Source organism: Homo sapiens, chromosome 12 (genome assembly GCF_000001405.40).
Source record: "Homo sapiens chromosome 12, GRCh38.p14 Primary Assembly".
Classification (NCBI taxonomy): Eukaryota; Metazoa; Chordata; class Mammalia; order Primates; family Hominidae; genus Homo; species Homo sapiens.
In genome coordinates this window covers 5,505,491-5,528,393 of record NC_000012.12, presented here as the reverse complement: position 1 = coordinate 5,528,393, position 22,903 = coordinate 5,505,491, and the positions used below count along the sequence as shown (strand labels likewise).

The 22,903-nt window shown below is 46.6% G+C and overlaps 1 long non-coding RNA gene across 9 annotated transcripts, besides 3 other annotated features; it reads right to left on the bottom strand.

Moving 5' to 3' along the window:
* Nucleotides 1-1,662: 1,662 nt before the first annotated feature.
* Nucleotides 1,663-21,828, bottom strand: LOC124902865 (uncharacterized). Of its 9 annotated transcripts, none has more exons than XR_007063181.1 (5): nucleotides 21,677-21,828; nucleotides 16,186-18,818; nucleotides 7,325-15,589; nucleotides 6,763-6,999; nucleotides 1,663-6,545 (listed from the first exon to the last, which is right to left on the bottom strand). It is a non-coding gene; the product is annotated as an uncharacterized LOC124902865 (long non-coding RNA). The 9 variants fall into 9 exon arrangements; XR_007063185.1 differs by having other exon boundaries at nucleotides 6,763-15,589; nucleotides 16,186-16,277; nucleotides 16,670-18,818; XR_007063186.1 differs by having other exon boundaries at nucleotides 6,763-15,589; nucleotides 16,186-17,914; nucleotides 18,422-18,818.
* Nucleotides 6,641-7,840: an enhancer, noted in NCBI's record as "BRD4-independent group 4 enhancer chr12:5629720-5630919 (GRCh37/hg19 assembly coordinates)". NCBI's record gives its function as "activates an origin of replication core promoter dependent on BRD2, P300/CBP, MED14 and CDK7 cofactors, and independent of BRD4, by STARR-seq in HCT116 cells {active_cell/tissue: HCT116}" and the evidence as "EXISTENCE:reporter gene assay evidence [ECO:0000049][PMID:35650434]".
* Nucleotides 10,929-11,485: an enhancer, noted in NCBI's record as "H3K4me1 hESC enhancer chr12:5626075-5626631 (GRCh37/hg19 assembly coordinates)". NCBI's record gives its function as "activates a minimal SCP1, AML or CMV promoter by ChIP-STARR-seq in naive H9 embryonic stem cells {active_cell/tissue: H9 hESC(naive)}" and the evidence as "EXISTENCE:reporter gene assay evidence [ECO:0000049][PMID:30033119]".
* Nucleotides 17,732-18,931: an enhancer, noted in NCBI's record as "CDK7 strongly-dependent group 2 enhancer chr12:5618629-5619828 (GRCh37/hg19 assembly coordinates)". NCBI's record gives its function as "activates an origin of replication core promoter dependent on BRD2, BRD4, P300/CBP, MED14 and CDK7 cofactors, with strong dependence on CDK7, by STARR-seq in HCT116 cells {active_cell/tissue: HCT116}" and the evidence as "EXISTENCE:reporter gene assay evidence [ECO:0000049][PMID:35650434]".
* Nucleotides 21,829-22,903: the final 1,075 nt, after the last annotated feature.

Below are 22,903 nucleotides of genomic sequence, written 5' to 3'. Positions count from 1 at the left end.
TTGGGACTGCAGATGCATGCCACCACGCCTGTCTAACTTTTTGTATTTTTCGTAGAGATGGGGTTTTGCAATGTAGCCAGGTTGGTCTGGAACTCCTAGACTCAAGCAATCCACCTGCTTTTGCCCAGCCATTTATTTTAAAAATTGAAATATTAAATGCTCCCCCAAATTCACACATTTCAACAAAGCCCAAAACTCAGAAAGTTTTATAGAAGAGAGAGCTATTAAACTTCAAACAATATATAAATATCTATCTTATGCAAGTTGTTCCAGGAAAAAGAGGAGAGAAAGCTGCCCAACTTTTTATGAGGTTACTATAACCCTGATTCCAAAGTCAGCAAATGATAGTTCAAACGACTTATTTCACTTTTGAACACATATATGATTACTCCCTATCACAAAACATATTTGTTAGCTGAATCCAACTCTCTATTTTTTTTAAATCATGATTAAAGTGGTTATTTCCAGGAAAGATTAACAATATAAAAATTTTTTCAAAGTAATTCACAAAATTAATGGACTAAAGGAGAATAAAATAATATGATTATCTTTGATAGATGCAGAAAAATAATTAAATAAATTTCAACAACTTTTTAGAGTAATAGTAAAAATAGTAATAGTTCTCACAAAAAACTAGTAATAGAAATCTCTTTACTTTAAGAGTAATACCAAAATTCTACAATAAACTTTCCCAAGAGAGAAACTTTAGACACATTTTGTTTAAGCCGAGGCTCAGCATAAGGAATGCTTGTCATTGCTACTCTTTAACATGTACTGAAATTACTGGCCCATGCAATAAAACAACAACAAAAAAGTATGAGAAACAACGATAGAAAGAGAAGAGACAAAAACTACACTACTGGCAGGTGGTAGAATCAACCACATAGAGAAACCAATAGAATCATCAGTCACACTGTTGGCACTAACAAGAGGGTTCACCAACTCTTACAGATAGAAGCTCAATTAATAAAAAGCAGTAGATCATATTATTTCCGCAAAAATCCAATTAGAAACATATAGAAATTAGTGAGACACAACCAAAATAACAATAAGAACTAGGATAAGCCTTTTTTAAAAAGATGTATAAGATCCTCAGGTAGATATGTTAAAATTCAATTAAGTAAAAAAGAAAAGTAAACGAAGAAATGTATTTTGCTCATGAATGTACAACCTAACATTGTAAAGATGCCAACTCTCCCCAACATAATCTATAAATTCATTGCAATTTCAATTTAAATTTCATATGGATTTTTTAAGGAACATGACACATTTATTCCAAAATGTGTATCAAATAATAAAGATCCCAAAACAGCTAGTTAAATTTTGTAAAAGCAAAACCAATTAGGACAGGTCATCTTACTCAATAGGAAAATATGAAAGTTCTACAAATCCATAGCAGTGTAGTAACAAAATCAGTGTGATAGGTAATGAGACCAGTGCAATAGAATTGAGTGATAAAAAAACTAATTATATTTGTATTATATATTCCTTACATTAATTCACATGTATCAATCACTACAAAATCATGAAGATAAAAAGAAATATATTGAGAAAAATTAAATTATATACCTGCCTGACCAAAACTAAATGTTAACTTTTGATAGACTAATGCTTTATTTATGAAAAGTAGAATCATAATATTAACAACAGAAATAGACAATATATTTGTAACTTTGTCATGGAAAGAGATTTATTAAACAATAGTCCAAAAATACAAAGCACAAGGAAATAAAAAAAGACAGATTTAACATTATCAGAATTTTTGTTCAACAAAAGTTAGCGCTGTCAAAGTTAACAAACCAGGAATGGATTGAGAGATGTTTGCAAGAACCAAAAATAAGCAAGGGATTAGTGTCTAGAATGTTCAACAAACACCTGCAAATCAGCAGCAAAAACATGGCAACCCAATGGAATAATGAGAAAAGGTATGACTAGGCAATTCACCGTAGAGAAAACCCAATGGCTAACAGGTGTATGAAGGGGTGGTAAACCTCATTAAAACTGAAAATGTTAGTAGTAACAATAGGAAGTACTACCTGTACTACTAGTAGTAGTAATTACTGAATACTTTTCATTAATTTGTTAGATCCTCACGACCACCCCCTATGGTAATTATATTAGTATCTCCATTTTATAGATGCGAACACTGAGGCATATAGATGTGGCTTATCTGCTTTTATGTGGTCACATAGCTGCTGAGTGATGGAGTGAAGACTTGAACCCACACTGGTAACTGTCACAACAACCCAAACTTTGCATCTGTCAGATTGTTGGCAGTTGGTAAGGACCAGGGAAACAGAAAGCTTCATGCCCTGCTGGCAGAATATAGGCTGGTGCAGGTGTCCTGGAGATAAGCCTGGGAAAGTTGAGCTCAACTAAGGATGCTTTGACCTGAGGACTGAAGCCCTGGTCACCAGGGGATGCGAACAAGAAATTGGGTGCAGATGAGGTACATATCCCCACGGGTATGGTAAGACAAAAGGAGGCATGTGGACCACAGAACACCAGGCAGCTGCAGTCAAAACTGAGACTTAGAGGGTCATACAGCATCACAAGCAAGTCTTTAAAACATAAGGTAAGTTTTTTGAAAAAGGAAAAAAACCCAGAAAGTCCATAGCACAATGTCATTTATGTAGATCTCTCTCTGTCTCTCTCTCTCTCTCTCACACACACACACACACACACCATTTAAAATGTATTTTTAAAGTATGTTCCCATTCAAAGCTTTATACCAAACACATCAAGGCTGGGTAAGAGAACTGGTGACCAAGAATGAAGGAGACAAAGAGGAAAAGAATAAAACCGTAACAGCCTTATGCACAAACACAGTTTACCGCAATCTGAGGAGTATGAGTTACTGTGACTTCTATCTTTAATGTTCACGCCCTTGTCCCCAACAACAGCAGGCCACGGCTCTGAGCCCGCCTGGCCATATGGGCCAGTCCTGTGGTTTCTGCCTAGTTGCTGTGGCTTCTGTGAGGCTGGGGCTCCCCTTGGCTATGTGAGCCCTAGAAGGCGGAACCCCGGGGTTGATCAAGGACTCACATCTGGGGATGGGCCTCTGTCCACAGTGGTCAGAGCTGATGCTGGGCTCTGCCGCACCAGAGATGTGCTCCAGGGCAGCATGGCTCCTCCTTGCCAAGGCCCTAGCCTACTCTACCCCACCTACCCAGCGCTAAGTTCAGCCGGGTCCTCCCAGCAGAATGACTGTCGTATTTTAGTGCTGGGCTCTCGCCTGCTCAGAGGACCACAGGGTCACCAACCCAGAACTTCCCTTTTCCTTTCCACTCTAGTAACTAGAAGAGAGATGCCCTTCCTGCTTTTCGCCCTAAGCTGGTTAAGACAGTCTTCTCCCAGACACCACATCCGACTCCCCTGCCCTGGCTCACACACAGGCCTGGGCCTGGGCCTTGACGTTCACGGGGTCAGACTTCAGGAGAGTGTCGAGTGTCCTCTGACTCGGTCTAGCCTGCTCCTGCACTCCAGTTGTGTGGGCTTCGAGCATTTCCATGTTCAGTCCGAGCTGTGTCACTTGGCACTTTTCAGTGTGTTGCTTTCTAATAAGGTCATTTCCTGCATATGTGTTTAGTGTCCCCTGCTAGACTGATAGTTCTCAAGGGACAAGGCCATCCCCCCCACCCCAATTCCTTGAAAATGTGTGTGTGCACCCTAGGATAACATTGGCACCATTTGTCAGTCATGAGAGGGACAGCCGTGAGTACCTTCCTGTCCTAGCTCTCTCACCCTCCATGGGCAGACCTGACCAGGGTGGAGTAGAAGCTGGGGAGGAAAACCCGCACGCTCACATGGCGGTCTGGACCTGCACAGCTGACAAAAGCCCTTTCACGTCCACTTTTCCATCTCACTGTGCCCACCTCCAGGAGGCGGAGCACCTTGCCCATGGCCACACAGCTGGCAGGCCACTGAGGCAGGTTTGATTTCCTGTCTTCTGAACTGACATCACCATGCTTTCAGATATCCTGAGGCTGACTGACTCCTGCCTTATTGTCTTGAGTTCTAGCCAGTTCTCTGGCCCAGGACCCTACCCTGTCAGCAGAAGCAGGACTCCTCCAGGACCTTCTCAGCCGGCGGGCAGGAAAAACCAAACAGTTTTAACAGTGCCTTCTCCAAATGGCTCTTTCCTAATCAATCCCAGGAGCTCCCCTTCGGGCCACAGCGAGATGCTGAATGTGATGCTCTCAATACTATGTGCCACACAGTAGCCACATCCACTGTAAATACCCTCAACTGTGTTTCGTCAACACGAAAGGCCCAGTTAACAGCCGGAAGCTGGGGTTTAGGGCCCAGCCCGCATCCTGGGCTTGCCGGCTGTCTCGCTGCACACGCAGGACAGAATGAGCACGTTTGCCGTTAGTTTCTTATGTCTTCTCCACATCACACCCAGCACCTCAGGCAATGGAAGTGAGGACATGGTACATCTCCATCACCATCCCTCAGCGAGGCTGGTGGAGACAGCTTGTGATGGAAAATGGAGTCCCTGCCTTCTCTGCCCCTGCCATCCCTCCCTCTTATGGGTCCAGGGTACCGATAGGACGACACAGTTCCAAGGCCGGGCCGGGCCCAGGGAAAACACTGTATTAGTTTCCTGTGGCTGCCGTAATAAATTACTAAAACCTTAGTAGCTTAAAACAACGTAATTTATTCTCTCGCAGTTGTGGGGGCCAGAAGTCTGAAAACAGTTTCCCTGGGCCAACATCAAGAGTTGGCAGAGCTGCACTCACTCAGGGGCTGGCGGGGAGAATCTGTTACGCGCCTCTTCCAGGGTCCGGTGGCTATGGCCACACCAACTCCGATGTTCAAGGCCCGTGTTCTCAAGCCTCCCTCTACTGGTCTCCACACTGGGGCCTCCTCTGTGTGTTTTCAGATCTCTCTTTGTCGTCTGATTATAACGATGCATGTGACTGTATTTACAGCCCACCTAGATACCGCAGGATAATCTTCCCATCACAAGATTCTTCATCTGCTCACATTGCCAAAAACTCCTGTTTTCCCCTCATGTAAGGTAACACTGACAAGTTCCAGGTATTAGAATGGGAATATCTTTTGAGGGGCCATTTCACAACCTTCCACAACCACAAACTCCTTACGCTGTTTGTTTACTTGCCCTCTCTGGGCCGGTTTCCCCACTTGTGAAGTGAGAGGGTTGGGTGAGAAGCCCTTCTGTGACCCTGACTTCATTTACCTTGTCTCAAAGCCTAATCTGCTGGGGCAGCCTTTCCCTGGTCCCGCCTCTCCTCTCAACCCTGGAGGTTGTGTCCAGGGTTGGGGGCGTGCCCTCCTTCCCACACAAGGCCATTTCCTGGGGGGTTTCCATTGCCTGAGGTGCTGGGTGGGTGTCTGCAAGGCCGCTGGAGCAGCCTGTGTTCTCACACATGCATGGCAGACCGGTCGGTTGTGTCTGCACCAACATCCACCTAGCTCAGGAGCTTCATTTAGAAGGGCCACGTGGCCCAGGCCCATGAGATGGAAGCAGGGCTGGAGATGGGAGGGCAGAGAGGCTGGGCCCTTTCCCCTGACCCTACACCTAAGGCATGCTTTGCTTGAGGGCCTCTGATCAAGTCCCTCTGAACACTTTGGGGCCCACCCAGCCCCTCTGGAGCACTTTGAGGCAGGCAGAGCCTCTGCCTGGTAGCCCCCTCCCCTCACCCAGCTGCACAGCTCCCTACAGTAAATGCATGACCTCACGTCTGGCTGCCTGGCATTCTGGAGATCATCCAAGAAGCTGAGGCAGGTGGGTATCCCAAGTCCTCAGTGTGGAGCAACCACAGCCTGGGCAGTGCAGTCAGCCCATTCCTCTGGGATTTGAAAGCCCACCTCTGCGAGCCAGCTGCACGCCCTCACTCTGGCCTTTCTGCTGAGTGTGAGGCAGCCCTCATGTGCCTCCTCTGTGATGTTGTTTATGGTCCTCTTGGACTGTGCAGCAACCTCTCCTCAACTCCCCCTCAGCATCCCTGTGTCTCTTCTCCTTTCACCTTGGAATCTGAGCACCATCAGCAATTACCCAATTATAGCTCAGCTTTGGGAGCCCTACACAAGTCAAGCACTGTGCTGAATGCCTTACACATGTGGTCTATCTCAGGTCTCAAAAAAACAACCTAAGAAGTCTGTGTTATTGCTTCCGTTTTTACGGGTAGGGGACTAGGGACTCAGAGAAGTCATGGATGGACCCATGGCCACCGCACTCGACACGCGGCAGCCCGGGATTTGACTCTCGGTTGGCCCCGCTCAAGCACAGGCTCGCTACCTCCACCCCTGAGCCATCCCACACAGCATTCTCGCCCCAACCAGAGAGGTCTCCCATCTGTCTCTTTGCCAGGCATGGCCTTCTGCACCTTTCAAACTGTGATCAACTCTCACCAACATCAATAGCCCAGCAAAATGATGGCTTTTCCAGCAGCCTCCTTATTCCTTGGTTCATAGCAGACTGCACAGGTTTTGACTGTAAAATTTCCCTGCAGACACTGGGTTCACGTGGACTGATGCCGGATGGGGTCTCAGTCAGGTCCTGGGTGGTATTTTCTCACCTGTAGTTGGGGGAGGTTGGACACATGTGCTGCCCTGCTGGCTTCACCACTGTCTGGACTTCCCGCACCCAGGTCTCCCCACCAAGCCTGGGGATGCAGCACACATCCCACTGGAGAGAGATCAAGAATCAGCATTGGCTCTGGCCCCTTACCCCAATCCCCCAGTCTTAGCGTAACCAACACCACCCAAGGCCTGGAAGGCTGAGGAGACGCACACCTGCCATGGAGTCCTCTCCTCCCATCAGCAACTCCAGCCTGCCGTGGGGGATGCACCCTGGCCTGGTTTCTGCCCAGCCTCTCGTTCCTGGATTCTGATTAGCCTCCCAGCAAAGGGCACAGGCATTGTAGTCACGTCGTCTCAGAGTTCAACACCAGCACCATCCTGCTCTGTCCTGGAGCCTCTCCACCCTCAGTTTCTTCCCTCATGCAATGGGGAACGCAGTCCTTCAGAGTGCTGTAAAAGATAAAACAGCGCAGCACAGTCATCTCATGAGGTAGGACTGGCTAAGGGGAGCTCCTCTCACTGGCCTCCCTCTCCAGAAAGCCCAGACATAGAGCCTGGGGTACAGCAGCCCTTATGTGCGGGACTAGATCTTGGTGTCCAGTCATGGGCTGGGGCAATGCCACTTATCATTGCCTGCTGCCTGGAAGCCCTGTCCCCCAACCTGTCTTCAGGATGGAGCCCAACTAATGTGTGCCTCAGGCCTCCCGATACCTCTGCAGGGCCAGTCTCTGCAGTCTCAGTCCCATCCCCTTAAGACCGCAGCCTCCTGACTTACCCAGTGGGGCCAGGTTGTCCTCCTAACACCCAGACCTATCCCCGGGCCTCTGCATGCTCCCATTGTGCTGTTACTTTGTTCCATCTTCTGCATTGTCACCTCTGTCCCCCTAGCTCTTGCAGCCTCCCCATGGAAAACAGACCATGACTTATGTGAAGACACAGTCCCCGAGGCACCTGCTTGTCTACGAAGCAGCCAGTTTGAGGAAGAACCTACAGCCAAACACATGGACCTTATAAGCTGTTTGCAGTGGAATTCTCTGCAGACTGAGAAGGTGCATAAAAATATTTTGAGCGTCCATATGATAACAACCTGTTTTGATCAATGAAGGTGGGATTTTACTGGGGTTAGGTGAGAAAGCATAATATGTGACACACAGGCACAGCCAAGACAATGTAACAATCTCATATGACGTTAGCAATAAAAACCAACAAGGACTCAGAGAATAGGTAAAAAAGGTTCGGTCATTGCACCTCTCCCAGCTGCACATCCCTGTGCCTGAGAAGCTCTGCCTCCCTCCCCACCCTTCCACTGAAATTCTGTTCCAGCCTATTATCTCTCTATTATCTCTCGAGCTTTCACCCATGGAGCAAGAGGGTGCCCGAGTGCCAGGCTGGTAGGACCCTAGAGAATACTTGGGCTCATCAAAATCACTACAGCTGATTGTGACAAATACAGATTCCTGGGTTGTGCTCCTTGTCTACTGACTGAATTTTCAGGATAAGAAGCCAAGGAAACTGAATTTTTAAAAGACTCCCAGGTCATTCTCCCGAGCACTCAGACTGTGGAACCTCTTCGCTCATCTGATCCTCTCACTGTCCAGGTAAGGCATGAAGGCCATGGGGAGTGGTGACTGACTCAGGGCCGGGGTCAAGCACAACAGGACCGGGTGAACCCACAGAGAGGTCCCCATGATCCCACTTCTGTTGTCCTGCAAAGCATCTGCCCTCAGCTGGTCAGATTACTCCTGTGCACAGGTGTGCTTGTGGCCATCAGGGCTGGGCTCTGAGATCATGTAGCAATTGTAAGTCCCATCTTTCATCTGTAAACGGTGGGTGGCCATGCAGTTTCATCTTTCCTCTGATTCCGCCCAGGGGGCTTGGTGCTGGGCTCTGCCACTGGGGTCTAAGTATGCGATCTTTCCAGCTAATTTTGCCTCCAGGAGAAGAGGCCATGGAAAATAATTCCATGTTCCATTCCAACTTTTGAAACTTTCTAGATGTGTCTGCATTCTTCCATAGTTCTGAACTCTGCCGTGGAATGCACGTTCCTTCTGTACCAGGTCACACAGGCCGACAAAGTCTTAAGCTGTCAAGACGACTCTCTTTATCTTCTGCAAGGCACAAAGCACTCTACTGAATATCACAGTCCATGTTTTCAATCCGGAGAAGTTGAGAGACAAAAGGAGCACCCAGATTTAAAGTATCTCAGCGAAATAGGGGCAGAGTTGATATTAGAATCTCTTAATTCCTTACTTCTGCACACTCAGTAGTCTGTCAAACAAGGACAATACACATGGCCTCCTAAAGTAAGGAAAATATTTTCTGCCTCTGATTTCATAGTAAAGAAGACAGTATGTCCCCACAGCTTTAGTGTGGTTTTCTGTTTTGAAGATGAAATGAGCACGAGCCCTCCCACCCCAAGTACAACATTCACATGTTTCATAGTTTACAAAGTACTTTAACGTACATTATCTCTCTTAGTCCTCAAAATCCTGCAAGATAGGCATCATTCTATCACTATCAGACTCTTAGGAAACTGAGGCTCACTCAGGAAATGAAAGTGCCTTCCATCCCACCACTCTGTTTCACTGAAGGCAGAGCTGGTCCTGCTGGGGTCAGTCTTGCCCAGGTGGTGCCATGTGGCCTCAGGCTGATTGAGGAGCAAGGGATACCACATCAGGTGTCCCATCCCACCTTCCCCCTCACTCTCCCTCTACCACCAGCAGTGGTTGCTTACTCCTGTTCAGCTGTAATACAAGCCCTGGTTTAGGAGATGCCAAACTATTTGAGGCAATTTACCTATATTGCCCTATTTCCCTCTTAGGAAAACTTTGCAAGGTAGTTATTATCACCTTCTGTTTTTGAGTCGATCCACAAAGACCAAGAGTGTCCCATAGAATTTCCGTTTGCTGCCCCAGATCTACTTTCCACCCTTCTCCATCTGCTCGGTGCTGCCGGCTGACCCATTTGGACCACACCAACAGGCCCCAGTGCCCGCTGGCATGCAATTGGTCCAGCCCATGCAGAATGCCAGCAGGAGATGTGAGGGAGGGAGGAAAGCGAGGTCAGGATGCTCCCCCAGCTCTTTCTCTCCCTGCAGAGGTCTCAGCCAATGAGCCCCCTCCACACTCCCTGCTGTGTCTGCAATTCCAGTAAACACCTCTCTCCTCCCGCTGGGAACCACAGTGTGCTGCGGGCCCATGTTGGAGCCTGAGGTCACAGGAAAACTCAGTGCCCCTGCATATATGTTTGTATAATGGTTGTTTTTTCCCCCAGAACTAGTTGAACAAATATTGAAAATCTGGGAAGTAGATGTCTCAAAACTCACAGCATTATTTTAAGCTTAGATATTTCATTTTATCTCAAACCGAATGTGTTATAATTTTATTTTCCTCACTTTAATGGAAGCAAATTCATCAACAATACTTTCAAAATCTACTTTGATCAACTTTTTTCAAGTGAAAGTTGTGAGTTATAACAAATGAGAATAAATAACTTGACATGCTGGATGAAAGTAAAACTTTAGCATGAGGTATAAACATGCTTCCTAAATTTGGAAATAAATTTTAAAAAAGTAAGGAAACTGGAAATATATGATTCATGGGTAAGAGTATCAATTACAATGAAACCAGCTTAGATCAAATAGAAATCAAAAATTTAAATGTCTGAAGTTCACATTTGAAATAGACATGCAAAAATTAAATATCTTCAGATTTTGAATTTTTAAGTCTAGAAAAATTAGAAAACTGCAGAAAAGTTTTCATGAATAGATCTTATTTACAAAAATCAGTCATTGATTGGACTCTTAAATATTCTGACAATTTAAGTCCTATTGAAATTTCATCTGAAATAGTTTTAACATGTAATATCAATAAATTACAATACAAAATCAGCATTAGATTTGAATCTCTAAAACAGATTCAGGAATTTTGCTTAGTGTAGTCTTATCTAAACTTGGACATGGCCTTGAGAATTCTTTTTTTAAACAATACTAGTTACAGTGCTGTCCAGGGAAAGAAGTTTTAGTGAGCTAAAGTTAATTAACAATTATTTAAGGTAGTCACTTGGTCAGTAGAAATTGTTGAACATGGCAATTCTTTCAACTGAAAATGGCGTAAGTAAGTAAGCAGGTTTTGAAAATAGTATTGATGAGTTTGCTTCCATTTTAAGCCAGGAAAGTAAAATTATAATACATTCTGGTTTTGATATAAATAAAATATTTAAATTTAAAATAATGTTGTGAGTTTTAGACACTTCTCAATATTTTTAAAACTCATTTAATGTTCTGGAAAAATAGTAACCATTAAAAATGCACAAATACACATATATAGGGAAGCACAGTTTTTCCTTTTGCCTCAGGCTCCAGTATGGCTTGGCACGGCATTGTTGGAGCCTGTTTTTATTTAAAATTTTGATATTTTCTTCATCATGGATTTTTTTAACATAAATTTTAACTTAAAAAAATATTGCCTTAAAATATAATTTATCTGATTGCTGAGTTTTTTGAAGTTCCCTTAAATTGTACACCCGAAGCAAGCGCCTCCTTTGTCTCATCCTAGTCCCGGCCCTGGTTAATGGTGCCTGTTGTTTCTGGCCCTAAGGCACTGCACCATCCCTATGTCTGTGCCTTAAGGTCATACTGCCAGCATGTAGCAAGGCCAGTGCTCGCATTCAATTCTGTATAATTCTAAATTTCTAGCTCACTCCTCTGGGCTGTGGCCTCTCTGGGGAGCACCAGGGCTTGCAGAAAGTGAGCCTCTCTCCCCAAGACAGCTGGCCTACAAAGGCACCTTTGCTTTCTTCTCCTGTCTAGAAGCAGACAGAGCCTGCACCAGGGGCAGGATTCTACAAGCCACCCCCGCCCCCTTCCCGGCTGGGCATAGTGTGGGCTGCTTTCCTTGCAAGCAGAAGAGTGACAGGGTCCTGGCTCCACCTGGGAGTCCTCAGGCCTTGGGCAGGCAGGCTTCAGGATAGGCTTTGATGCTGGATTTTTTTTCTTTTCCAAGTCATTCTCTAATTGAAAATGACTCCATGCAGCTGTCAGCCTGGAGGCCTTGGGTGTCTGCACCCCGGCCTGTGCCAGTTTCAGAGCTCCTGGTTGTGACAGCCTCAAGCACATAAGCCCAGGAAGACATTAACAACTGTTTATTTGTGCCTGATGAGAAGGCTCTGGGAAGTGCAGGCCTTGGAGCTCCTGGAGACTGAAAGTTCTTCTAGTAATCCCACATGCACAGAGACTGTCCACAGAACAGGCGGAAGCAAGTCCCACCCTGCCCTTCCAGGGGATGGGGCCCGGCTGGGCAGAGGGGCGCTTCCCTCTGTTATAAGAAGTGAGAACACAGTCTGCTCGGATTTTGCATCAAAACTTATCCACAGAGTGATTTTCTCTGGCCTCAATTCCTGGGCAGAATTGACCTTCTAAATCCTCCTCCTGAGACAGCAAAGACTGACTTGGCCTTTTCTGGGCCTCAGTTTCCTCATGGATAAAATGGAAGTAACTATAGTACTTACCTTTTCGGTTGGGAGGGGAGAGGGATGGTTTTACTTACTTTGAAGAAGGAAAAACAAATGCTCAGAGAAGGGAAGTGAGTGGTCCAAATTGTTTTCTTTTTCTTAGAGAAGCAATGGGATTTGATGTTCATTTCCTGAATTCCAAGAGTGATATTGTTTGAGCTATATGATAGACTTGCCCATTCACTTATTTTACAAAATAAGATATTTACAAACATTAGCAGAATGAATGTGAACACTTAGGGATTCATTCCACAAACATTTATTACGTAGATGACAAAAGCAAGGTACTGTTCAAATACTTAACATATGGTAGCACACCAACCAGCCAAGACCCCTGTCTTTAGGGATCTCATCATGGCAACGAACAAGTAAATAAACAAATACATGGTATAATACAGGGCAGTGGTAAGTGCTATGAAGAAAACTAGAGCAGGGCAAAGGGCTAGAAAGTGAAGGATGTTGTGGGGTAGTGGTGATGGTGGCTATTTTAGCTCTGGTGGTCAAGGAAGTTCTTTCTAAAGAGGTGAAACATGAGCAAAGCTTGAAATGCCATAAAAAAATGGTCCATGAAGAGGTCTGAGTCAGGAAGGTAACAGGCACCAGTGCAAAGGCACTAAGGTAGGAATGTCTGGTGAATGTAAAGAAAAGCAATACTGCCCATGTGACTAGAGCAGGGTTAGAGAGGTGGTCAGGGCCAAGTCATCTGGGGCCTTTGATTTTATGTTAAGTGTGATGGGAAGATAGCGGAGGGTTTATGATCTAAGGATTAACCTAATCTGACTTATGTTTGAACAGGATCTTTCTGCCTGCTGGTTAGAATAGAAGGTGGGAGAGAAGGATGGAAGCAAAAAGACCAGTTACCAATTTTTTTGCAAAAGAATAGGTGAGAGGTGCTGATGGCTTGCACTGGGATGGTGGAGGTGGAGGTGGTGCGAATTGGCGGGATTCTGTGTATGTTGTGGGGGTAATGCTACAGGATTTGCTATGGATAAGATATGTATAGAACTAGGTGAATGAAGGTATATCATGTATAGAGGTGAGTAAGACAGAAGGATGCAGTTGGGGACAAGACTGGAAATCATGTTTGGCTTTGAATATTAATCGTACTTGCAAAGAGAAATGTAATTTGAGTAAAACTTGAAGAAGTATAAATACATAAGTAATATAAACATCACCCTAATTGATTTTTCTAATTGTTGATCATTGATTAATCTGGTTTTACCTCCTGACTTTTAGAAGAAAGAACTGAATTCGAATCTAATGATTTATTGGCATATACTTGTAGCGGTATTTTGCACCTTTAGGATTATGAACTAGTAAGTTCCTTCAGGGCAGGGATTCATTATTTATCTTTGTCATCTCCTGGGCTTAGCTGATGCCTGCTTGATTTACAATAGACTTCTAATAAATGTTAATTTATTAGAGAAAAATAAAATACTTGCACAAGAAAACAGGGTCAATCCTTAGCAAAACTATGAGTGTGGGTGTGCCTGGGGGCTCTGCTTCCAATCCCTGCTTAGTTCCGGTGACCTCACGGAGGCCTCTCCTGGAACACTCTGTCAGGTCTGCATTCCCACAAAGCCTCCTTCCCAGCCCCATAAAGGTCATTCCTGCACCCGATTTCCACTTCACCTATCATGCCACTGAGACAGGAGGTAGGATGTGTGCTCCTCTATATGACATGTACTATGTGTGATGTAATTCAGAAGACCAAGTCTTTGGGCCACGGTTTCAGATACCATGGCTGGCCCAAGTAGCTGACACATTATGGCACCCAGTTTTAGAGAGACCCTGAAAAATAAAATTCTCTCATGTAAGCGATTGCCTGTATGCTTCTATACACAGGGCCGGACTTACAGGAGGGAAGTGATATTTTTAAGACATAAACTAGGCAGTACAGAGGCAGAAAGGGCAGACCACGTGCAAGGATGCTCAAGAAGGCAAACTAAGGGAGATGTGGGCTGTCCTGGGGGTAGATCCAGGGTGTATTGTCAATTAGCCATTGCTGTGTAACAAACCATCCTGAAACAATCGGTGATCGTGACTCAGGAGTCTGTGGGTCAGCTGCACACTTCTGCTGATCTGAGCCAGGCCCGCAGATCTTGGCTGGGCTTGGCTGGGACTCATTCATATGTCTGGGGCTCAGTTGGCTAATATGGTTGTTAATCTAGAACGGTGTTGGCTGGGTCAGCTGGCACTGCTCCATGTGTCTCATCCTCCCACAGGCTAGCCTCGGTGTTCCTTCATGGCAGCTACAGGGGTCCAGGAAAGAGAGAAGGGTTGGGCAAGGCCTCTTGAGACCTGGGCTCCACACCTACACCTTGATACTTTTAGTGCATTCTTTTGGCTAAAGCAGTCAGAAAGCCAATCCAAATTTCAGGTGTTAGGGGATAGGCTCCAGCTCTTGCTGAGACGAGTGTGAACTCAAAAGGCAAAGGACTAGCATGCAGGAGTGGAGAACTGGGCCATTTCTGTAGTCTGTTTACTCTGGGGAACAACCCTGCGTTTCCACTCTTGATATCTAAGGTCCTCATGATGCATTGTAGTGGCATAGTCCAGGGGAAGGATGACAAGGGGACAAGCAGACAAGGGCCTGGGCGCTAGGAAGGAGGCCCTCTTCTTCCTGCCCTTCCCAGGAATGCTTGGCCATACGCTGTCCCATTGGAGGGGAAGGCAGTTCCTTTGTGGGTGTCACTGGGGGGTGGGCATCAGAAGCTCACAGCCTTTTAGAGCTGGCATGGACCTGGACAACAGCCAGCACCATCTCCTCCTCCCTTTACAGAAAACTGAGCCCCAGCGAAGGGAAGTGACTTGCTCAAGGCCACAGAGCTACTGCTGGCTCCAGGAGGATCCAGAGGGATAGGAAGCGTTTCTTTTTGACTTTTAAAATGTAAAATGACAACCTTTCCAAAGGCAAAGGAGCAAGTCAAACTCATTAGGTTTTAGGAAAACATTTTAAAAACGAGGTAGGGATTTCAGGAGCAGACAGATTAGGGATATCATTTACAAAGGTATCAAAAACCGAGGTCAGGGATGTTGGGAGGCCATTCCTGTGTCTCCAAGCTGCCTGGCAGCAACCATAATGGGCTTTGGTCTCAAGGCGCTTATCTATGGGCAGGTTGTCCTTGAGGGAAGGAAAATTGGAATTCTTTTTCTTTGCTGGTCCAGATTCTTCTCCTCAATCTCCCTTCTGCTCCAGCATGCTATGTTTTCTCCATCTCTTCATTAAAGAAAATGCATAAGCCAGGTCTTAAACATCATTCATTTATTTCAACTAATAAAATATACGTATTGAATGCACAATCTCGGTTGGGCACTCTTCTCTGTGCAGGTAACAGTGCAGCCAAAAGAACAGACACGGACTCTGCTCTTAAGGGACTTTGCATTTTCATGAGCAGAGCTCATCCATCAGTGAGCACAAAAATATCAGGCGAAGAGGATCGCCAGGAAGGGGTTACAGCAGGACAGTGACGGAGTGCCTGGGGAACTACGCTGGGTGGTCAGAGAAGGCATCCTTGGAGAGGTGACCCTTAAAATTGCAAGTGGAAAGACAGGGAGGCGATGGCCAGGTGTAATCTGAGGAGGTGCCTAGTGCAAAAGCCTCCCTGAGCCAACCCGGGAGGGGGTCCTGTCTGCAGCACAGCCTAGCTTGTCACCTTTAACACATAGCAGGTTTTACTCTCCAAACAAAGAGTTTTTAAAAAACGCTTTTTCCTATTTGAAAACAGACTGTCAGAGTTGGCTCAGAACCCATTTGCTGGGCTGACAAGGGAATAAACACTCAGGCCCTTTCATCTCGATGGCCTTAAGTGGAGCCAGCGCCCTGGTGTGTGGGGCAAGAAAGATTTGAACCCTGGAACCGCATCCAATTTCCCCCAAACCCCAGTAACAAGATCTCGTAGACTTGACAAGCGGGCCCTGTCCCCACTTCCCTCTGGCTTCCCCTCATTCTCCTACCCGCACCGTCCCTGCCCCCTGGAATTCATGGGCAGAACAGCTGCACTGGGGGCTCAGTTTTCAATGAAACAATAAAATACTCCTGCGTGTCCCTAAGAGTATGGCATTTATGACTGGGGTGGGCTGGCTTCCCTTCGCAGACGCCCCCTCCCCAATTCCCAGACTCACCAACCCAGACGCCCACACGTCCCGCAGCCGTCCTTAAGCCTCTGGGAACTGCAGCATGGGTGCCTCAGGAGGTCCTTGTCCAGAACACAGTCCTGGAGGAAAAACAAATGCACGTCCAGTGCGGGGAGCACCTTTGCCAAGCGCATGCGAGTGCACATCTGTGTCGAGGGCCATGCAGCACAGCACCCTCCCGGAACCCCCTCCTCCCCCCATGCACACAGCTGCCTGGGGGAACTGTCTGCTCTCTTGTTCAAGGACAGGAACATCTTCTCTGGCTCGGGGAGGAAAGCTAGCGGGTGTGGCCCACATCCCCATCAGCACTGCACCCCCACCCCTGCCCTCGGGCTCTCGTCTAACACGCCACGAGGTCCTTGACTTCATAAGTTTCTCTTTTGCACAGCGCGTACATTTGGGCACTAAGCCTGGTCCCCCTGGGCTGCTTTCCAGGGGCCAGATAGGAACTTCCGTGCCTAGGGGGCCAAACCTTGCAAGCTTCCACGTGGGGGCGCAGCGTGCCAGCCGACGGTTCCGCGTCACCAGGCACCCAGCACAGAGTTTGTGCAGTTATTTTGCACATTTCATTTAATTTTGTCCTTACTGTTTTATAAAGATGAGTGGAAAGCTGGAGTAGAAAGCACAGATCTCATGAACTTAATATAAATGAGACAAAGATAGGAGTCCTTAGGCACGCCCAAGGAAGACCAAAGAAGCCACAATCAGATGCTCACCAGAATTAAGCTGTGTTCAGATGCATGCCAGGCACGTTCGCGCCTTAGGGCCCTGTACCCAGAATGCCCTTTCCTTGATTTCCACGCGGCTCATCCCTCACCTCCTTTCCAAGTCATTGCTCAAATCTTAGTGTATCAATGAGGCTTTCCCTGATCCTCCTGTTTTAAATTGCAACCTGCACTCTACCCTCCACCTGCATTCTGGATCTTCTCTCTTGGGCTCTGCTTTTGTCTCCCTTTGTTTCCTCCCCATAGCACTTATCACCATCTAACATTTATGATGTGAAGTTTTCATTATCCATCTCCTTCTGTTATTAGATTGTGCGCCCCACGAGGGATATATTCTGAATACCTGGAATGGTGTCTGGTACCTAGGAGGTGCTCAACAGATATCTGTTGAGTGACTGCATGTTGAATTGTAGCAGAAGTAAATGAATGAACATGTTCAAAATATGGTTAGTATATTGCAAAAATTATGCATAAAATGTGGATATAATTACGATTTTACAATCTTTTTTTAGCTCTCTGGGAAAATACACCCCTATGCCATATAAATCTCTGGTTGTGCTTTTGAACATTTGCTTTTGGCTCACAATTCGAGAAGCACACTAGCCATGGTTAGCAGGGAACAGCTTTTGGACAAGCTGAGCCCAGGGTTACAGGAGACACAGGATATGGGCAGAGTTCAAGGCAGGGCGGTGAAATCTAGAGAGGCTTCTCGGAAGAAGCAGTGTGACCTGTCCTTCTTGTGATTGACATTTGGCACACCCCAGGGCAGATTCTGCCAGATTTAGCAGGGAAAGCCTGGGAATTGCAGCCAGGGTCTGTCTAGAATACTCTCTAGGTGTTTGCTAGCTGACCTTTGAGGCAGGTAAAGCCGCCTCATACACTGCAAGGAAGGCGTTGGAGCCAGAGGAAACCCTCTCTGATGGGAAACAGGAGACAAGACATCTGGCTCTTTCCCAGGCCAGAGGAGCAGAGGGTGCAGCTCCCAGTGAGGCCTGGAGAAGAAAGGAAGGGAGGAGTTCCTGGCATAAGGACAGGGCCCTTGCCCCCTCCCAATTTCCTCCAGTTCTGTTCATCAAACCCTTAATAAACCTGTTCCCTTTCCCGCAGTGAGCAGTTACGAAGTGCTAGGCCCTGTACAAGCACTTGAGCGGCAACGACTCAATTCCCACAACTCCCACGTGCTGCTCATCACTTTTCCTCTGCTCTACTGATACAGAATGGGAAGAACGGAGGGGTGAGTTTGTCCCGGGACTATGGTTGGAGGGAGTCAGTGTCAGAGCCCAGCTGTTTGGTTCTGGTGCTCACACTCTTAACCACTGCCAAGCCCAGGAAGGCCCCAGGCCATGCTGGGGGGCCCAGTGGGATTCCTCTCACCCACCTCTAAGGATTCCATCACCCTACATTCCATCCCAGAATGCAGAGGTTCTGTGGGGAGTGGGTAACAGAAAATAAACCCTTTAGGACCAAAGTGGTAAAAAAGACAAACAAAAACAGCTTACATGCAAAATCAGAGAAAATCTTGTTTTGGTGAACCAGATGGCTAGTCGCCCAGAGACAACCTCATCTCGGGTTGAGGAAGTTGTTTCTCTCTTTCTCTACACACAAACAGAAAATGTGCATAATTTCACCTTATTCTCACCTTAGTCTCAGAACTTTGCTGCGGCCTGGGACCATGGACCTGAAGAGTGGGTGTCGCTGGCTGGGATGAGTGTGTACAGCTGGAAGTATCTGTTGGTTTAGTTCTTCTGAGCCCCACCTCCAACCTTGACCAGGGTTGACTCGCCACAAAGCTAATGGAGCTTCAGCTTCAGGTTTCTTCACTTGCCCCTGTCCTTCCAAAGACTGCAGGGCATCCTAGCAAGGTATTCACGTGGTTATTATACGGTTTTAACAGTTCTGTGGAAGTAAGGTTAAAATTATTCTCATATGAAGAAATAAATTGTAACAAAAAATCTTAGATCATACTAAAAGTATTAGTTCATTAAGAGGAAGACATACATTTCCAATCTTTATGATACATTTCCAATGGAAGTAATAAGTAGGCTCTTGGATTATAATATAACCCAATTAAAAGAAAGGGATGAATTATAAGCTCACATCGGAAAAAAGATTTTCCTTTTTTTGCTGACTCAACATAAAATCAGAACATTGACCAGGATAGCATAACTATGGTGCAGACATTGGTGACCGACTGGTTAATGAGTGTTGGCAATTCAAAGAGCATTTAAGATTAGTCACTGCATTAATAGATAATGAAAATGTCCTGACATTTATCAGCCGATCTGTGAAAGAAACTTGATAGACATTTTCCCAAATTTGGTACCAATTCTGAAAATGTATGTGATGTTACCGCTGATAAGTTGTGAACTTCAGACTTTTCCATATTGGAAAAAAATCTGATCAACCATGTTACAAGAGAAGTTAAATTATCTTTCTCTTCTCTCTATGGAAAAGAATATTATAAAACTATTGTCACATATGAAGATTATTCAGCCAAAAATATGGGAAGTAAAGTATGACAGACAGTTAATGCAGCTATGAATATCATGTTATTCTTCCATATTTCCAGATTTTTCAGTGGTATCTATCAGCTTTTGAGGTTTATAATTGGTTGTGATTTATTTTATCTCTAGGTATTTGTACTGGTTTGCTGGGGTTGCCTTAACAAAGCCCTACAGACTGGGAGCTTAAACAACAAGAATTTACTGTCCTGCAGTTCTGCAGGCTGAAGTCTGAGATCAAGGTGTTGGCAGGGCTGGTTTCTAAGGGATCTGAGGGAAGGCTCTGTTCTAGGCTTCTTGCCTTGGCTTGCAGATGGCCATCTTCTCCCTGTGTTACCACATCGTCGCCTCTCTGTGTTTGTCTCTGTCCTAACCTCCTTTTTCTTATAAAGACATGAATCCTATTGGATTAGGGCCCACTCTTACAATCTCGTTCTAATGACTTCTTTAAAGACCCTACCTGCAAATACAGTCACATTCTGAGTAGTGGGGGGAGGGCTCCAACATACTCATTTTGAAGAAACACAATTTCAGCCCATCACGGTATCCAATCTAGTATTTTGTTTAAAAAGAGGAGTCCACAATTTTTGTTTGCTTGTTTCAAGCACCAGAAAATTTAGACCTAGACACATGGGTATCTCTTTTGTTCTTAAAATCACCTATTCTGAAATTTACAGTCTCTCGTCTACAAGAAATCTTTCCAATTCAACACACGTTATTGAGGGCCTACTGTGTGCTAGGCATTGCTGACCCTGGGGCTTCACAAGGAAAGCTAGGGATGGTGAGTGCAGGCCGGGAAGCCCCAGGAAGGTGCGGGGCCACTTCATGGGTATGGGACCTGGGCGGCCCCACTGGGTGCTGTGTGTAGAAGAACCCTGAACTTGGGGTTTAATGTTTGCTGCCACCATTTTGAAATTCTCCATCATTTATGAACAAGGGACCCTGCCTGCATTTGCATTTTGGGACCTGCAAATTACATAGCTGGTCCTGAGGAGGGGAATTGATTCAACTTCTAGTTACAGCCCAAGTTAGCCATAGAAGGCTTTTCCTTCAGAGAAAGGGAGGGCCAGCAGGAAGAGGAACAGTATGTGACGAGACACGCAGGCAAGAGTCAGGGAGCATTGCTCACGTGTCATCTAGCGCTCTCTCCCTCTACTGAGGGAAAGGAAACATGCTCTTCATGGAGAGCACTCTGAGGTTCGAGCACTGAAGCTGGAGTGCGTGGATTTGAATGCCAGCTCTCTTGTTTCCCAGCTGTGCCTTCAGGCAAGTTACTGACTCTCCCTAGAGTCCAGCATCCTCATCTGTCAAGGGAGGAAAGTTGGACATTCAAGACGCAGGATTGGTAGGTGTGCATCACTTTTGAGTCACAGTAAGGAGAAGCAGTTGTGTGGGCTAAAGATTGTGGTCAGAAAAGGATCCCTGGAGGATGGGGAACAGCCCATGCTGAGGCTTGGAAGTGGGGATGTGCAGGTCAGGTATGAGAAATATGGAGAAAGGCAGTGGGGCTGTTCTCAGTGTCAGTGAGGGAGAAACAGCCGGAAAAGAGGCTGGGGCTACTTTGTCAATGACCCCAAGTGCCCAGCCAGGAAGCCAGGACTGTATGTAGACAGTGGGGAACTCCTGAAAGCATTGGGGTGGGGCCTGATGAAAGCGGTCTTTGATGAAAATCCCTGTGTGGGAACGTTCTCATTCAGCTCCTTTAGAAAGCCAGGTCTGGAGAGAGGAAAGTCAGCTATGCCGGGGCCTCCTGAAGGATGGGTGAGATCCCACCTCCAGCCCCACCAGGCATGCAACACAAAGGCACACAGAGGGCAGCAAGGAACCTTGTGCTCCTAAGGCCAGCAGCCCTGTTCTGTCTTCCCAGCCACCTCAGGAATTGCAGTGTTGTTGCCAATTATGGTTGCTGGCCTGGAACAGGGCCTGTGGGGCTTGGAGGCTGAGCAAGGCCGCAAGACCCACCCCGGGGATGCTGACTTCATGGGGGTTGACAGTCACACTGACACGAAGCAGGGTTTGTGTCAAAAGTTCAGGAGGAAGCGTGACAGGATAAGAGGGAGAGGAAGCAATGTGGACAGCTCAATTATCCTGGGACCAAGATCCAGCATCTGGATTTCCAGCTGCAAAAGACCAGAAAGGGCAGGGACCGGAGCTGGTCCTTCCACCAGGGCAAGGGGATGAGTGAATGCTCAAGGTGGTTCTGAGTGTTGAGTCCCACTCAGATGAGGGGGAGGAGTGATGAAGCTGCCCCACCTTCTCCAAACCTGCCTTTCAACGCAGCAGCATGCCTGTCCAGGTCTCTCCCTTCCATCTGACTTTCAGCATGTCCATTCTCCAGAGATGTCACAGAGGATCCTGAGGTCTGCACTGGAGCTGCCACATCTTCTCCCTTGGCTTCAGGCAGACCTGGATTGGTGTGGCCACAAACAAGCAGCAAGTGTAGATGACGCAGCACACCAGAGGGTGGAGAGAGAAGCTCACAGCCCTTCTGGACAGAAGAGCCACTGGTGCCTATGGTGACCTGTCTATGAAAGGCCACTCTCCCGGGTCACTCCTGCATGGCCCAGGCTTCTTCTCTTTTGCAAGACTAAGTCCAAGCTCTCTAGCACGGCACATGAGCCTCTGTGTGCTGACGCTTGCTCTCTTCACTCTTTAAGTTCCAACAATATAAACATATTTGTTGGCTCCCTTGTACTTTGCAGTATCTGGAATATCTTTCTCTTATTTCCTTGCAGGCATCATTAGCTCCAGGGAGACTTCCCCTCCCCTGCCCCCCTTAGGTGAGGCAAAGAACCCCCTATCTGTGCCCTAATAGCAAGCCTTCATGAAGGGAATTAAAGCATCAATCACATTGTATTATAACTGTTTGTGTCTCTCTCTCCAGGAGACTGGGCTGCAATCTGTATGCCCAAAGGGAAGGGTGGGAAGGTCTGACACACAGCTGGTGCCCAGGAAGAAGGAAATGGATGTGGCCCAGAGATGCCTGACTCACGTGAGCTCATGCAGTGACACTGGGGTTCTAGGGTTCACATCCATGGCACTTGCTGGGCACCAGGCTCCTGCTTGTCTACATGACATTTCTCTCAGCTCTTGCTATCCTGCAGTGGCTGATGGGGTCTGTGGGCAGTCAGCAAATTATAGAGTCCAGTGGCAATCAGCTCACCCAGTCTTCACCAGGGGCTGGCACAGACTGGGCGCATGAGAAGCTGAACTGAAAGGACGAGAGCAGGGGGCAGGGCCCTACCCAGTGGTAAGGGCAGGCCTGCACCCTGCCGAGGTCACTGTCTGCCAGAGCACCAGGAGGATGCAAGGTTGATGTTGCAAAGGAAACCCATAGAAATCAATAGTCTTCTGCTTCGCGACCTCCTTTCCCATCCAGTTGGTGCCATGCTTTTGGAGCAGAGGGTATTTTTGCAAGCATTTAAGAAAAGTTCCAGATTTAGCCTGGACTTAAAAGTCAAAAGTCCTAGAACTGACTTG